The 16,055-nt window shown below is 39.3% G+C and overlaps 1 protein-coding gene across 6 annotated transcripts in view, besides 9 other annotated features; it reads right to left on the bottom strand.

The window, feature by feature from the left end:
• DCP2 (decapping mRNA 2) overlaps positions 1-14,857 on the bottom strand; it is a 45,398-nt gene extending 30,541 nt beyond the window's left edge. For 4 of the 6 annotated variants that reach the window (NM_152624.6, NM_001242377.2, XM_047416866.1 and 1 more), the window contains exons 1-2: positions 14,669-14,857; positions 5,669-5,820 (exon numbers count right to left, since the gene is read on the bottom strand). In NM_152624.6, the coding sequence (NP_689837.2) occupies positions 5,669-5,820; positions 14,669-14,721 (205 nt within the window). In that variant the 5' untranslated portion in view covers positions 14,722-14,857. Of the gene's footprint in view, positions 1-5,668; positions 5,821-10,483; positions 10,614-14,668 lie in introns of those variants that run through there. The other 2 variants (XM_047416865.1, NR_038352.2) reach the window with 2 other exon arrangements.
• Positions 9,678-10,213: an enhancer, noted in NCBI's record as "H3K4me1 hESC enhancer chr5:112317139-112317674 (GRCh37/hg19 assembly coordinates)". NCBI's record gives its function as "activates a minimal SCP1, AML or CMV promoter by ChIP-STARR-seq in primed H9 embryonic stem cells {active_cell/tissue: H9 hESC(primed)}" and the evidence as "EXISTENCE:reporter gene assay evidence [ECO:0000049][PMID:30033119]".
• Positions 14,407-14,516: an enhancer, noted in NCBI's record as "active region_22920". NCBI's record gives its function as "activates an Ori minimal core promoter by ATAC-STARR-seq in GM12878 lymphoblastoid cells {active_cell/tissue: GM12878}" and the evidence as "EXISTENCE:reporter gene assay evidence [ECO:0000049][PMID:35858748]".
• Positions 14,407-15,191: a biological region, named in NCBI's record as "NANOG-H3K27ac-H3K4me1 hESC enhancer GRCh37_chr5:112312161-112312920".
• Positions 14,432-15,191: an enhancer, noted in NCBI's record as "NANOG-H3K27ac-H3K4me1 hESC enhancer chr5:112312161-112312920 (GRCh37/hg19 assembly coordinates)". NCBI's record gives its function as "activates a minimal SCP1, AML or CMV promoter by ChIP-STARR-seq in naive H9 embryonic stem cells {active_cell/tissue: H9 hESC(naive)}" and the evidence as "EXISTENCE:reporter gene assay evidence [ECO:0000049][PMID:30033119]".
• Positions 14,627-14,676: an enhancer, noted in NCBI's record as "active region_22919". NCBI's record gives its function as "activates an Ori minimal core promoter by ATAC-STARR-seq in GM12878 lymphoblastoid cells {active_cell/tissue: GM12878}" and the evidence as "EXISTENCE:reporter gene assay evidence [ECO:0000049][PMID:35858748]".
• Positions 14,687-14,776: an enhancer, noted in NCBI's record as "active region_22918". NCBI's record gives its function as "activates an Ori minimal core promoter by ATAC-STARR-seq in GM12878 lymphoblastoid cells {active_cell/tissue: GM12878}" and the evidence as "EXISTENCE:reporter gene assay evidence [ECO:0000049][PMID:35858748]".
• Positions 14,847-14,896: an enhancer, noted in NCBI's record as "active region_22917". NCBI's record gives its function as "activates an Ori minimal core promoter by ATAC-STARR-seq in GM12878 lymphoblastoid cells {active_cell/tissue: GM12878}" and the evidence as "EXISTENCE:reporter gene assay evidence [ECO:0000049][PMID:35858748]".
• Positions 15,207-15,286: an enhancer, noted in NCBI's record as "active region_22916". NCBI's record gives its function as "activates an Ori minimal core promoter by ATAC-STARR-seq in GM12878 lymphoblastoid cells {active_cell/tissue: GM12878}" and the evidence as "EXISTENCE:reporter gene assay evidence [ECO:0000049][PMID:35858748]".
• Positions 15,317-15,366: an enhancer, noted in NCBI's record as "active region_22915". NCBI's record gives its function as "activates an Ori minimal core promoter by ATAC-STARR-seq in GM12878 lymphoblastoid cells {active_cell/tissue: GM12878}" and the evidence as "EXISTENCE:reporter gene assay evidence [ECO:0000049][PMID:35858748]".

Here is a 16,055-nt window from a genome sequence, read left to right as displayed (position 1 = left end):
AAGAAACTATCACATCAGAAAAAGAATAAAGTGCTTAATTCTGGGAAGGAGAAGTATGAATGAGGTATGCCATTCTATACTGTTTACCACATATATATTGTTTCCATAATGAAGAACACTTTTAACAAATTTTATTTTAAGGATTACAGAGAAAGGCAAATCAGGTATTAAGGAAAACATAGCCAGTTTCAAAGAAACTAGGCATGCCTCCCCCCAAAACTGGGCAGTGTAAAATATTAATAGTAAAGTAAGTAAAATCCAAACCCTGAAATTATATGCTCAGACTTCCAACACTCCATGCTATCGAATGCCCCATCACTATAATACTGTTAATTTTAAAAAAGCATAGAGAAAATGATAATTTATGATAGTATCTCTCAAAATGAGGTCATACTTTTAAGGGTTCTCAATTCTTCAATAAAAATTTGTATACTGTGTTTTCATTTTGATATTACTCTAACATGCAATCTGAGCATATATTCAATTATCTAGATGACCATATGTATCAAATACTACCACTTGATTTCAGAGACCATATTGGTACTAGTACTACTTTAATTGCTACAGGCTATTAAAAACAGAAATAAAGCTAATCTACAAATGATGCATTACAATCAAATGACATACGACATAATATAGAAAGGAATGTTTCATAACAGAGAGCAGAGAAAGGTGGTGTTAGTACAGGTACACCAAACTCAAAACACCCTCAAAGAAGTCGGCATTATATTCATTCACATTGTGATGAAAAGTCTGGTTTAAAAAAAAAAATCACATTAAATTCATTTTATTAATTTGAATTTTACATGTTCTACAATTCTGTAATTTAAAATTTGTTTCATAGTTGTAGTACAAATGAAATAGGTCCTCAGAGCCCAAGTCAAGTCAGCCATATATAACAACACTGTAATTTGGCCAGGTGTGGTGGCTCATACCTGTAACCCTAGCACTTTGGGAGGCCAAAGCAGGAGGAATGCTTGAGCCCAGGAGTTCAAGACCAGCCTGGGCAACATAGTAAGACCCTGTCCCTACAATTTTTTTTTTAAGACAAGCGCAAAGTTAATCTCAATATAATTAGTGCATGCCTTCATTTGGGGAGGGGAAAAAAAAGATGAAAGCTTGGATACAACATTAACCATTCCATGAAGCTCTATGGTTCTATAAGGGCCTGGTAAGATTCTAAAAGGTATTAAAATTCTGGCTTTACATGTTTAGTAAAATCCCTAGCAGAACTTCAGCCAAGGAGCAAATGTGGGATACTCTTGTCTGTATCCACGTTGCTGAGTGCTTACTGAAGGAAAAAAAATCAAAGACTATGCATAATTTACAAAAGAGAAAACAGAGGCATAGACAAGTTCCACAATTTACCCAAGGATACATAGCTAGTAAGTGGCAGAGAAAGGATGCTAACTCAAAGGATGTGGCTCGAGAACGTATGCTCTTATCAAAGTATGCAGTCTTCTCTACTGCAATATCCCACATGTACCATCAACTCAACTGGCCCATAACAGAACCCATCAATTCCCTACATTTCTCATTTTCTTGCCAATGAGATGGCCAAGTAAACGATTTACATGTACAAATATATGTGCTTCTCAAACTTACCCTTTGAATTAGGCACTATTAGTAACCTTATTTTTCAGGAAGAAACTGGGATCCTCAACTGCTCATACTAGAAACCTGGGTACCATCCTTTCTTCTACTTCTCCTCAGATATCCAAATCATCACCAATCTTACCTCCTAAATAGCTCTCAAATTTGATCTCTTCTATTCATTTCTACTACCACAGGTTTTCTCTCTCTAGTAAATTAATAAAATAGCATGTTAACTGGATTCTCAGAATCCAATCTTGCCTTCCCCCAGTTCACTGTTCACACTATTTCACAGCAGTCTTGAAAAATACCCCTATACGGAGAAATAAGCAAATGTAGGAAAACGTTAATAATGAATGAATACAGATGAAGGGTATGATGGCAGTTGTCATGTTCTTTGGCCATCTCCGAAAGTTTTTTCCCAAAATAAGTTTTTTTAATCTGTTTTTTAAAGAAATATGGCCTACAAGACCCCTACATGTTTTAGCCTCTGAATTACTCTGTAGCATCATCTCTTATCTTTCCCATTTAGTCTAAAATACAGTAACTTTTTTCATTTCCTCCGATTTTCCTCACATAAATCACTATCTCAGAGAAGGCTTCTATTTAGCTCCCAAATCTTTTTTTTTTTTTGGAGTAATAGTTAACATTTATTACATTAACATTTATTGATCACTGTGCCAAGTAAACGACTTACATGTACAAATATATGTGTTTCTTAAACTTACCCTTTGAATTAGGCACTATTAATAACTTTGTCAGGAAGAAACTGGGATCCTCATCTAAGATGATTTAAATAACCTACCCAAGATTTTCGAGTGGCCAAGATGGGAATCAAACTCACAGCCTCCAAATCGTAAGTGGGTATCCCTCTTCTGTTCCCACTGAACACTGTGCTTCTGTATCACATCCTACCACACTGCACTGTAATCATTTCCTTTCCTGTCTTTTCTCATCTTCTTGAAGATACTGAGTCTACTCTCTTCACTGCATAAGGCCTGGCACAGAGTAACCATGAAGTTACTTAATGAAGTGTACCACATTAAACATTCCTTCTCCATGTAGCTATTCTTAGTTAACTAAATGAAACATACCTAAAACAAAGGTTGTTGGTGTTTTGTAATAGCAGGCAAAGTGTAAAACTCATGTGCAAACACACACAAAATGTTATCCAAAACCCTAAAGTATGTAAAGTTGCCCTAGAAGGGCTGTAAGTCCATACAAAATGACCAAAGCAAAAGAGGACTTGGTTATCTTAGTTACGTTTCCTTAACTAGATTGTAACTCCTGAAAACCAGGCTACTAAGATTTCTCCAGAGAACCTATCACCAAGGCCTTTAACAAAGATAGTGCTCAATATATTTCTATTTCCCTCTGATTTCTCATTAACTTCTACACATTTAATCAAACGGTTTGATCATTTCTTCCTTTGAAATCTGTCTCCCATCAGTGTTTTCTTTGTAGTCCCACTACTATGGCTCAGGGATTTATTGCCCTGAACGTCAAGTGATGTAACAGACCAACCAATAAATCTTGGATACCATTTTTTTTTTTTTTTTTTTTTTTTATTAAGACACAGTCTCGCTGTGTCACCCAGGCTGGAGTGCAGTGGCGCGAACTCGGCTCACTGCAAGCTCTGCCTCCCGGGTTCACACCATTCTCCTGCCTCAGCCTCCGGAGTAGCTGGGACTACAAGCGCCCGCCACCACGCCCAGCTAATTTTTTGTATTTTTTTTTTTTTTTAGTAGAGACGGGGTTTTACTGTGTTGGCCAGGATGGTCTCGATCTCCTGACTTAGTGATCCGCCCCCCTTGGCCTCCCAAAGTGCTGGGATTACAGGCATGAGCCACCGCACCCGGCCTTGGATACCGTTTTCAAATGATCAGAGTAATATTCTTTACCGTTGCTCAAAAATGTGCTATGGTTAACAGTTAACTGTTACAGAACAATCACTGTTTCATCCATTTTCTACAGAGCCCGAAGGATTCCATACTTCATGAGGCTAAAGGAAAGTGATAGGTAGCTGAGAATGAGGGTATTTCAGCTCACCTATCCCTACTCCAACTCTAGTTCTAGTACACGAACTTGTGGGTACAAATCCATTAAACATACACGTCATGGTCAAAAACAATAACCTGGCCAGGTGCGGTAGCACCTATAATCCCAGCTACTTGGGAAAAATGCGGGAAGACTGCTTAAGCCCAGAAATTCAAGCCAGACTGGGCAACAAGGCAAGACCTTATCTCAAAAAAGGAGAGAAAAAAAAAAGACCTATGGAATAAAAATCAGTTTGGGCACAGTTGCTCATACCTGTAATCCCAGCACTTTGGTAGGCCAAGGCAGGTGGATCACTTGACGGCAGGAGTTTGAGACCAGCCTGGCCAGCATGGCAAAACCCCATCTCTACTAAAAATACAAAAAAAAAAAAAAAAAAAAAAAAAGGCACCTAGGTGTGGTGGCTTGCACCTGTAGTCCCAGCTACTCAGGAGGCTGAGGCATGAAAATCACTTGAACCCTGCAGGTGGAGGCTGCAGTGAGCCAAGATCACACCACCACACTCCAGCCTGGTCAACAAAGTGAGGCTGTCTCGGTTTGTCGGGCGGGCGGGGGGAATAAAAATCAAAGTGCTTTAGCTCAAGATTTAAGAACCCATACGATGCCATCATCACCTCATATGACTTTCCAACCATATCTGCTATTATGGCCCCATGAGAGGACGCTGTTCAATTCAAACTAATTTATTTATTGAGCTATCCTTTTTCAAATCTCCAATTTTTCTTTACCTAAAACACATTCCCCACTTCTACTGAGAAAATCCTATATTCCCTCAAAAATATAGCTTTCCCTAAAATATTTCCACTTTTTTTTCCAAATTCTAGAAACATGTACTATCAGGACCATTAGCAATTACTCAATTATTTGCCTTATGACATAGCTTCTTTTATAATGTTAAATATTCATGTGAATCTTTTATAACTAATAAATCACGACAAGTTTCTGCCTGATATGTACATGGGGAAAGAAGCTTCTCTGAAGGCAAAGATGACTTTTTTCTCTTTGAGACGGAATCTCACTCTGCCGTCCAGGCTGGAGTGCAGTGGTGCCATCTCAGCTCACTGTAACCTGCACCTCCCAGGCTCAAGAGACCCTCCTGCCTCAGCCTCCCGAGCAGATGGGACCATAGGTGAGTGCCACCATGCCCAGGTAACTGTTTTTGTACTTTTGGTAGAGATGAGGTTTCGCCATGATGCCCAGGCCGGTCTCAAACTCCTGAGTTCTGGCAATCCACCAGTCTCGGCCTCTCAAAAGTACTGGGATTATAGGTGTGAGCCACTGCACCCACCAAGGGCTTCTTTGTATTTGCCACACAACTGAAAACACTGCTTCAAACATAGTAAACATTCAATAATTATTTAATAAATGTCACTGGGCACAGCGGCTCACACCTCTAATCCCAGCACTTTAGGAGGCCAAGGTAGGAGGATCACTTGAGGCCAGGAGTTCAAGACCAGCCTCAGCAACAAAGAGAGACCCCCATTTTTAGAAAACATAAAAAAAAAATTAGCAGGAATGGTAGCGCATGCCTGTAGTCACAGCCACTCGAGAGGCTAGGGAGGAGGATTGCTTAAGCAGGAGCTCGAGAATACAGTAAGCTAGGATCACATTACTGCACTTCAGCCTGAGCGACAGAATAAGATCCTGTCTCTTAAAAAAAAAAAAGAAAAAAAATTCTAAATAAATCAGAAAGGCAGTAATCTGATTAAAAGATCATCTGGTTACATGCAGCAGCAAGAGTAAAGTTGTACAAACAGGCTAGCTATGCATGGGAAAAAAATAAAATTTAATCAGTGTACATTTTAGGGCGTCCTCTGTATGATTATTATGAGTATTAATGATTATGATTATTAATATGATTATTACTAAATTGTGTCTACTATTTATGTTTGACAAATTTTAGCAATCAAGTATGTTTTTCTCTAATAGTTTTAAAATCTGAAAAGGCAAGCAAAAAGAAATTTGTGCTAAAATATATTGCTAACAAGAAAGTCAGTCATTATAGTAATAAAAAGGATATCAGCTTTAGCAAAGTCTCTTATCCCACACTGAGGTAATCCTGGTGTGTTCTGCATGTAGAAATCCAAGTAAAACCAATGGGCAAGTTCAATCTGAAAACACACTCGGATTGCATTGTCTCTTTCCTCGCTGGGAATATGCAAAATAAATCGGCTGTCAAAAACAAAACACATACAAAAATTACATTTACAAACTATAACGATTTATCTTAAGCTATTTAAGTGCTTCATACCTGACCCACCAACTGAGAAAAGGGACCAAGAGCAGTACTGTTCAAGGAAGCAATTAATATTTGAGAGAAATACTATAGGGAAGATGAGTCTTAGAGAGGAGACACCACATGTATCTCACTTTTAATACAGTTTGTTCTGAGCCTGTGTACCCTCTGTTCACAAGTACAGAGATCAGCTTAAGAGCTCACTAACAACAAAAGTGAGCAAGAAAACCTCCGCTTCCTCCCATGTCTGGCAACATTTCCAAGAATACAGGTAAATATATTCATACAATTTTAAAATGTTTGCTATTACATAATCTTCACATACAAAATATTACCAAGAAATATTGGAAAAGAAACCAATATTCTGTTGCTCATTAATATACTAGGACTTCCCAAAAAGCCTCACCTGCACAGCCTCAGTTCAAACTTTCAAATACACTCACTTTTCAAAACCCTAAATTGTCTTTTCCATGTACATTGGGGAAAGGAAAGACATATTTCTTTTACATATAAATATACATTTATATTAATATACACTAATATTGCATGTACACATATGTAATTAGGATAATGAACCCCTTTATTATGAAACATACAAGTTAAAATTCATCAATCTAAGTCAATGTTGTAATTCAGAGCAGTCATTAAGCAGCTATCACTTATTTTTTCCAATGTTAAGCATTTTTGGTAATCCTTTTTCCCAGTAACCATTAGAGACAGATTCAAGTCCACTGGTTTTTAGAGTCATTTTTTAAAATTAAAAATAGTACCACCCAGTTTGATCACTTGCTTAATCACTATCATAGTAAATAATTCTTGGCTGTTTCCAAGTTTCAAATAAGCATAAGAATACTCTTCTCCAATTACAAGAGGCCCTTCTCAACAAAGGAATTTAAAAATTAGCCAGATATGGTGGCATGCATCTGTAGTCCTAGCTGCTTGGGAGGCTAAGGCAGGAGGATCACTTGAGCCGAGGTGTTCAAGGCTGCAGTGGGCTATGATCATGTCACTACATTCCAGCCTGGGTGACGAGACACTGTCTCAAATATATATATATATATATATATTTTTTTTTTTTTTTTTTAATTAAGAAATAAAAACAACACTGCAACACTGGAGTAGCAAAAGGCATTTTAATCAGGTTTTTAGAGATTGCAATTTGGGAGACACAAGTCTAGCAAGCAGCTAAATCATGTTGCATTCAGGCAAGGTTAGGCAGAGCTTTTAAGGGCTACTGTAAATTTACGTATCTGGAAGGTTTTAGCACAGTCCATGATAAATGATGGCTGGTTGTCAGCTCAGGATGTCTCTAGTCAATGATCAATATAGTTGGGTATGGTTATCTCTCCAGGCGGTTGATCAGGCCCAGTATATACAACTCAAGTCAAATGCAGCTAGTTTTACACTTTGGCCCAGTTCAGCAGGTGAAACTCCATCTAGATGTGTATGTGACCAGGATCCAACTCCTTATGCCCTCCTGGCTCCTTTTTGGATATTCTGACATAATCATCTCCATTGTGAATTTTCTTTTCAGATCCATCAGTTTCATTTTGGATTTTTTTTCCCCACAATTCAGATTCATCAGTTTCATCTTTAAGACTTCTAGTCTTCTGATCTGTTCTAGTCTGGATCAGCTGTCCTCTACACCTGGTACACATCTGTCAACTCTACACTGCCCTTTCACAAGCATCCTATAGTTCCCTGTGCCTTTATCCCACAGAGGTCATGTGTCTTGTCTTTTTGTTTTCATCCTCCTTAATTCACTTCCTTGTTTTCATGAAGTAATCCTCACATATCCTGTGAAGGAAGGATGCAAAGGGGAGGTAAATACTATATTTTAAGATACTACACATCTAAAATGTCTTTATCCTCATACTTGATAATTTGGGTAAAGAATTCTAAGTTGGAAATGATTTTCTTTCAGAATCTTCAAAAGTGTTCTTAATTCCAACTTGCAATTTTGATATTGAGAAGATCGAAGCCATTCAGATTTTTTTTCTTTTTACTTCTAATTTGTGCCAAGGACAAAAGCCATTCAGATTCTTAATGTTTTGTATATGACCTTTTTTTTTCCCCAGTCTGGATGCTTCTAATATCTTCCTTCCATCCCCAGTGTTGTGAAATTTTGCAGTGTCTATTTTTGATCCACTACACTGTCATTCCATAGACTATACATACTTGGAAACTCATATCCTTCAGTGCTGAAAGGTCTCGTAAGTCAATCCTACTGTGAGTCTTTATGTTTCTATACTGCCTTGCCAGGCATGGTAGTACATGCCTGAAATTCCAGCTACTAAAGCCAAGGAGTTCAAATTCAGCCTGGTCAACAATGTGAGACCCCGTCTCTATTTTTTTAAAAAAATACCCCCCATATCAATTACATTAATTTTGCTTTTCATTTTTCCCAGTTCTCCTCAGCCCGCTCTGTTGAAATGCTGAAATTTTAACTGTCAGAGGCAACCGTAATATTGCCTTAGGGACTTGTGGGGAAGGGGAGGGGAATTATTCAGCGTAGTGTTTTAACTTTCAGAACCAAGTAGTCTATTTTCTCTATGTAAGAAATGTGTTTGTCTTACTTGAAGAGAAACCCAGACTTCATCAGTTTTTGATAACATCTTGGTTTCTGAAGGAACTTCAATCTGTAATTGGCATTCAGAATGCCCTTGGCATGGCAGTCTGTGTGATGGCATTTAAGACCTGTGAAATCCTTGAGCCCAACTTGATTAATCAACACTGATAACCACCACCTTTATCCTTTAAAGTCTGCTTTATCTGTATTTTAAAAAATGAAAAACCCTCAAGTGTAAGAGCCAGCTCCCTATCTACTCACATAAAGGAGAAGCGTATTAATGAATAAACCTCCCAAATGTCTCATCATTAATATAAAAAGGCATCCAAAAATCACCTACCATCTAAGGAAAATGTGAAGCATGACAAGAAAGTTTTTTAACTGACGCTGAAGAAAACATAATTGAGGAACCAGAAGAAAACAGGAGTGAGGGTTGAAAGATGGAATTATTATCCTAAAAGAAATTTAAAAGAGTATTCCTTTTTCAGAGCAACTGTATTTTTCTTTAAATGTACAGTAACTAAGTAAGAGCCCTCGGGGGGAAAAAAAACTATTATTACTATAACCAACGGAAGCAGTGGAAGGTAGTATTAAGGATATCACCTAGACACTGGTACTCAAAATGTGGACGCTAGACCATGTGGGAACTAAGTGTGAAAACAGAAACAGGTATTTTACACATTAAAGGACTCAGTTTACTTCCTAATGAACCCCCTCAAAGAAATTAACTTAAAATGCGCACAAGCAAAACAAGAATGAAAACCAAGAAAGGATGAAACATGATATTCAAGAAAGAGTAAGTACCATCTCAGAGAGTTGTGAAAGTGAATTCTAGTATTCTAGTTGCTAGGCAAGTCTGAGGAGCAACGAGTCCAGACTGGATTAGGAGGATGGAGGTCCCCAAGAGTGCAGTCTAAAGGGAAAAAAGGATTCTGTCGAAAGTATGATTGAGGATAAGATAAGGAAGCGGATGAGAAGGGTTGAAAAAAGCAGCTAGAAACTTTGGACATATTAGAGAGGAGTACATGTACAACAGAATCATAGTCCAAATGTGAAGCAAAAACACCAAAGTTAGAACAGAAAGCCAACTGTCCCCTCCCCTCAAAAAAATGGATTTCAAGAATAGCCAGAAGGGGCCTGGCATGGTGGCTCCCGCCTGTAATCCCAGCACTTTGGGAGGCCATGGCAGGCGGATCACCTGAGGTCAGGAGTTCAAGACCAGCCTGGCTAACACATGGTGAAACCCCGTCTCCACTAAAAATATAAAAAATGGTGTGGTGGAGGGTGCCTGTAATCCCAGCTACTCGGGAGGATGAGGCAGGAGAATCGCTTGAACCCAGGAGACACGGGTTGCAGTGAGCTGAGACCACATCATTGCCTCCAGCCTGGGCAAACGAGCAAGACTCCGTCTCAAAAACAAACAAACAAAAAGGCTAGAAGGAATCAAGCAATAGTAACAAAAGCATATATTTCTTTCCCCAAAGAAAAAACTAAATGGTACCATCATTTTGACCAATTTGTAGGATATAAGAACGGAGAATTCATTCAGATATTCTGCAAGACACTTACAAAGGGCTCCTGACTATGCCCCGATGGAAAAGAAACTAGCCGCTGAAGACTTGCCTCTACTGTAAAAACTACATATCTATTTACACTGTATCATTATTGTTCAGCTTTTACAATCAACAAATAGCACAAAATATAACAGACGTAGATTTACAAAATAGAATATAAATATTATCAACCCTAATTTTTTTCAAGTTAATCTGGATAGAAGCCGAGGGAATGGGCAAGAAAAAATGAGGCACTAATCATCTCACCATATCAGAGACTCAAGAAATACTGTAAGTTCGTAAAACAAATATAATTTTAAGTATATTAAAGTCACAAAGGGGCCAGCATGGTAGTTCACACCTGTAATCTCAACACTTTGGGAGGTTGAGGCAGGAGGATTGCTTGAGGCTACAAGTACGTTTGAGACCAGGCTGGGCAAAGATCCCATCTCTACCAAAAAAAAATGTATTTAATACCTGGGCATGGTGGTACATGCCTATAGTCCTAGCTACTCAGGAGGCTGAGCCAAGTGGATAGCTTGAGTCCAGGAGTTGGAAGTTGCAGTGAGCTATGATCATGCCTGGGCAATGGTGCAAGACCCTGTCTCTAAAAAAAAAATCATAAAGTCACAAAGGTAAACAATGGAACAATTTAAAATACTGATAGAGACATACTGGAAGTAAGATGGGGGCAATAGTGGGTGTGGTAAACTGAACTCTCATCTAGTATCTACGAAATTGAACCAAATCCTCAATTCAATATAGAAAGTTGATAAAACAAGAAACTGGCACAAGTATATTTTAAAATATGAGGTATCCACCAGAAGAACTCAAAACAAAACAAGTAAAAGTCAATGCCTCAACAGGAATAGAAAAGGGTAGGGAAAGAAACTAAGACTGTTGCCTGTCATTTATAAATCTGTCTGTACTCTAATTTTCAAAACCATGTACATGATTACATATTTTTAATAGTAAAAAGTTGACTTAAGTTTATAAGAGCTGATGTACGAAAATTAAACATTTAATGCGTTCATTCTGTGAATGCTTTTGATCTGTTTTAAAGTTCAAAAGTACGTGTACATATGTGTATGGACGTGTATATAGTAATAGCTGAAATAAAATGCTTTCCATTACAATTTGTTACGGAAAAAACTGCATCACACGAAATGTTATTTTCTCAGTGTTCCTACAAACAGGACATTAGCACAAGGATTGCAATTAGTAGAAAAATGTTCCGGTTGAATTCAACACTAACACGGCTAGCTGAAGATGAGCACAAATTATTTAATTAACCTACGCTATCACCAAAATAGCAGCAACACTAGTTGCCAGAAAATACCTTTCTTCTTTTAACACTAGTGTGGCCTTACTATACCCAACTCTTAAAAAGGGCTTTAAAAAAATTCTAAGCATTTATTTGAATCAACCAACTTTTCAGTTTCTACTTTAAAAACTTGCTTTTCAATTCTTTAATAAGCTAGTTTAAACAGTACTGAAAAACTCTGTATTTGAGTTTTAATATCAAAAATCATGGTTCATCAAAAACAAGTATCACCATAAAATGCTGCAGATTCACCTTTACACATACATTTTAAATTATAAAGCATTTTTTGTTCACTAGAATATTTTAAGACCAAACTCTTCCCTTCCTCTCCTCTAATTCTACTCCACTCAGAAAGTAACCAGTGTTATCAGTTTGGCGCATATTCTTTCGGCATACGAATACATATACCCCTTCCCCACCCACACACACACTTAAAAATTTGTTTTCACAAAAGGCACCAAGGGACTAAATAAGTATTTCACTCAGTATACTGTGTACATCTTTTCAACACACAAATATTTTCCCTCAGTTTACTGTGTGCTAATTGCCTGAGGAACTTAGAATGGCTGCACAATATTCCAATAAATAGAATGTTACATACTAAAGCATCAGCCTTAGGTTATGAGCAGTCTAAAGGTTACAAAGTCACATTTTGAAAATTTAAGTCTGCTGCTCTCCACATCAAAAGGCAAGATTTAACAGAAACATGTAATTTATCAAAAAACAAAGTAACACAAAAGAAAACTTCCTATATACACTAATAATAAGCAACAGAATTGGGGCAAAAAATGAAGGGAGTAAAAACAAGCACCTAGCTTGAATTCATAAATCAAGACGTACATAAAAGAGAGCAAAGAAGTTCAGAAAAATTAACCTCAAATTAAGCTTTATTTTTACAGAAGTTTACCAAATTCTAAGTGTAAAAAAAAAGTTTTAGTCTACAATGAAAAGCTTGAATCTGTAACATTAAAAATATTTCAATTAATCAAAGCTATAAATATTAACTTGAAAATGGCATTTATTTTAAAATCTGAAGTTTTGAGAAATGTTTATTTGGTTTCATTATTACAGCCAGCCCTAATTTTTAAATATATCATATCCTTATTTATACAGCCAAAAACAGTAACTGCAAAAAGAAATTTCTTGAAAGGAAAAAAATGTTACTCCATTCAAAAATATTTGTTTAACAGCTTAAATACACTCACTGGAAAACCAACTATCTTTAACACTTGACAGGTGCTTAACATATTGTTTACAAAATACAACGTAATTATTTTGTGAATAGGTTCCATACATAAAATCGTTAACAGCTGACATCACTTATTTAAATGATGTAATCCTAGATAATATGCAAATTAACCCCAATACTAGAAGGAAGACTAGCTCTGATGTCTGTAAAATGTTTAAGATTACCACATCTTTTTCTAAATCAACTCTTAACCCTATTAACACACAGCTAATTACTGATCACCTTTCTAAATACTTATCTTCAATTTTTTTCTAACTATAAAATGCATAAAAAATATTGGAAACAAAAAATAAAGATCACAATCTCATAATCCCACTATTGGTTGATGTGCGTCTAGTCATTAACCCACATACACATATCAAATTCAGTTTCTTTTTCCTTTTTTTTTTTTTATTTGGGACAAGAAACTAAATGCCTTTTCAGTGGTTCATTTGAATCTACCATACTTCAAAAATTATAAATCTACCATCACCAAAGAAGTACAGCGCCATTTGTATTAGTTGCAAAATTAGGCTATTTACTTTTCTGTATGTACTTTTGTGAGGTTTAAAACGTTAGGCTTATTACTTCTCCTTGGTATGAGAGAAAAAGCACAGGCACTGGAAAGAAAAAGGAATAGGTGTGAAATCTTGATTTTGTGAATTAGGATGAATGTGACCTTATGTAAATTACAAAGTTCCTGAATCTGTTTGCGCAGATGAAAATGGAAATATACTAACTGCACCTACCAAACACGGCTGACTGAGGATTAAATAAAACAATACATGTAAAGGTAGTGCCTGGTGCACAGTAGAAACTCCAGGCCGGGCGCGATGGCTCACGCCTGTAATCCCAGCACTTTGGGAGGCCGAGGCGGGTGGATCACGAGGTCAGAAGTTCGAGACCAGCACGGCCAAGATGGTGAAATCCCGTCTCTACTAAAAATACAAAAATTAGCCGGGTGTGGTGGCGGGTGCCTGTAATCCCAGCTGCTAGGGAGGCTGAGGCAGAGACTCGTTTGAATCCGGAAGGCAGAGGTTGCAGTGAGCCAAGACCGCACCACTGCACACCAGCCTGGGCAAAAGAAAGAGGCTCCGTCTCAAAAAATAAAAACAAAAAAACAAACAAACAAAAAAAACCCCAAAAAACTCCACAAACACCAGTTCTTTACTTTCCATTAAAAAAAACTGCATGAAGGAGATACAACTACTAAAAGCCTGCCTTTTAAAACATAAACACAGTAACTGTGAACGAAAAGGTGTTATCACTTGTAATCACAATCCACACACACTTGGCGACAACTCCGGGTATCACTGCACTCCAAATTTTACCTTCGGAAAATAAGCATTTTTAAGTATCCTACACGTGTTTGGCTATCTGAAATCAGAGTTGACAAGGGGGAAGAATGCAGAAAATTTCTCATCTGAAGTATACACCCTGAGTTAAAACCCCGCGGTTGAGAATTTCCTTTAAAATAGGATTATTAAGGATAAAAAGAAAAGCAGCGCTACACTTTTTCCCTCTCTCCCCCAAAGACAAGTCCAGGGATGAGAAAAAAAAAGTAATTCCTTACAGGAATTTACAGAGAACGCCACGGACAAATAACACGCAGGCGTCAGAATAAGTCCGAAAATTTGCTCCTTGCGCAGGTCCGCGTACCTGGGATCCTAAGCCTTAAATTACTACCCTGGGGGTCTTCCTTCAGAATCGGGGAATGAGACACAGGGAGGAGGGGGTGCACGGCGTGGAAAAGTCACAGAGGCAGAAAAAACAATGGGAGAGGGAGGCGGCGGCGGCGGCAAAACGCTAAGACCCAGGCTCCGGCGAAGCGGCTACGCCTGCGGGAAAGCAAAATAGTTGAGTAACTTAAAAAATGAGGAAATTCCGGGTGTTCTGCGGGGAAGGACGGAGGGCCTTGAGAAACAGGGAGGCTGCGGCGGAAAGAGGGGCGGTGTCGTCGGAGAGCAGGGTCGACGATGGAAAGCGAGCAGCGGCGGGAGCGGAAAGCGAGGACATGGACGTGGGCGGGGAAGAAGACCCAGAGGCCTCTGGGGGTCCGCGAAACTGAGAAAACCCGACGGGGGCGAAAGGGGGTCGGGTAGCGCGGTACCTGCAGAGATCGTCCAGGACGCTGCCGGGAATCTCCACCCGTTTGGTCTCCATGATGAGGACCCACAGCAGGAACAGTGCATCCCGGCTCCGCGCGGCCGGGGACTGACGGTACGGCACTAGGACTCCGGCTCGCCGGAGAGCTGGCAGCCGAGGAAGCCGCGGCAGAGACGACTCCAACGGAGACGAGAAGGGGAAGGGGCGGGACCCGCTCACTTCCGTCCCGCTCCCTCAGCCTTGGACCCCAAGACTGGGCCAAGGCTCGGGGCGGAGCCCCCGGAGTCACGCCCCTGCTCGCTTGAAAGGCCCAATGGGAAGCTGAAGAATTGGGACTCTAAGCACTCTAAGCCAATGAGACGTTTGTTTATTGGTCTGCTACTTCCAATCCGTCTTCAAGCTGCTCAGTTGCTACTCAGAAAACCAACTTCCCGCCGCCTTTGAGGTGGCTACACGCATGCGCACCATGCCTCCTGCGCGCTTCTGGGAAGTTCAGAGGGGTCGGGGCTTAGGTGTAGACCCCGGACACATATCCGGGACTTTGGCATGTTGTGCAGGACCTCGCGGTGACTGAGCTCTTTCCTCTGCAGGGCCGACCCTGAGAATCCGTACAACACAAGAGTATGCTCGCGATTCCTGTCACCAAGTATCTTGCACTTATCGCAGCCCCCACCAACTCCAGGCCAAGAGCTGTGCCTCTTTCACTACAAACCCTTGGAGAGGGTATCCATTTTGGAGGTGGCTCTCCTCTGTGCTTCCTTAGGCACCTGGTTCCAAACATGAAGACAAGGACTTTATCTCAGTATCTGGCACCTAGCAAAATCTTAGAAAATACTGATTTAAGCTGAACTCTGATCTGTATTCCACCCTCTGCACAAAGCAATCCCCACCTGCTCGTCCTTATTCATTCCTCGTCTTGCTTAATGGAGACCAATCCATTTGGGATCTTTGGAGAAACTAGATCCATCTGTTCTTTTTCCTCTTACATCAGACCCACAGGCCCACACACACCTGCTCCGTCACAAGTTTAGTCTGTTCTACCATTTAATCTCCCATCTTTTGTCTAAATTTGTCACATGCCACTGTGTACTTCAGTTTTGCATCATTTCTCCATACTACAGTGAGAGCTGCCTAACCACTGACTCTGCCTCCATTCTTGGCCTGTGCAACTGCCTACATTTTGTTTTGTTTTACTCAGATAGGAACAAGTTATCTTTTCAGTTTCTGCTGTATGATCAAGCCCAAGTTCCTTTGGCATAAGAGGCCCGTCACCATCTATTTTGCTCCCGTTTTCCATCTTTTTTTTCCCCTCTTTCTTGGAGAATTCCTCAAATTTATCTTCCTGACAACTACAGAGTTTTTACTTATTTAGAGTTCTGTTTTGTTCTTCA

The sequence above is a fragment of the Homo sapiens genome, chromosome 5 (genome assembly GCF_000001405.40).
Source record: "Homo sapiens chromosome 5, GRCh38.p14 Primary Assembly".
Taxonomy (NCBI): domain Eukaryota; kingdom Metazoa; phylum Chordata; class Mammalia; order Primates; family Hominidae; genus Homo; species Homo sapiens.
Note: the sequence above shows the minus strand (reverse complement) of the source record. Positions and strands in the feature narration are given on the sequence as shown.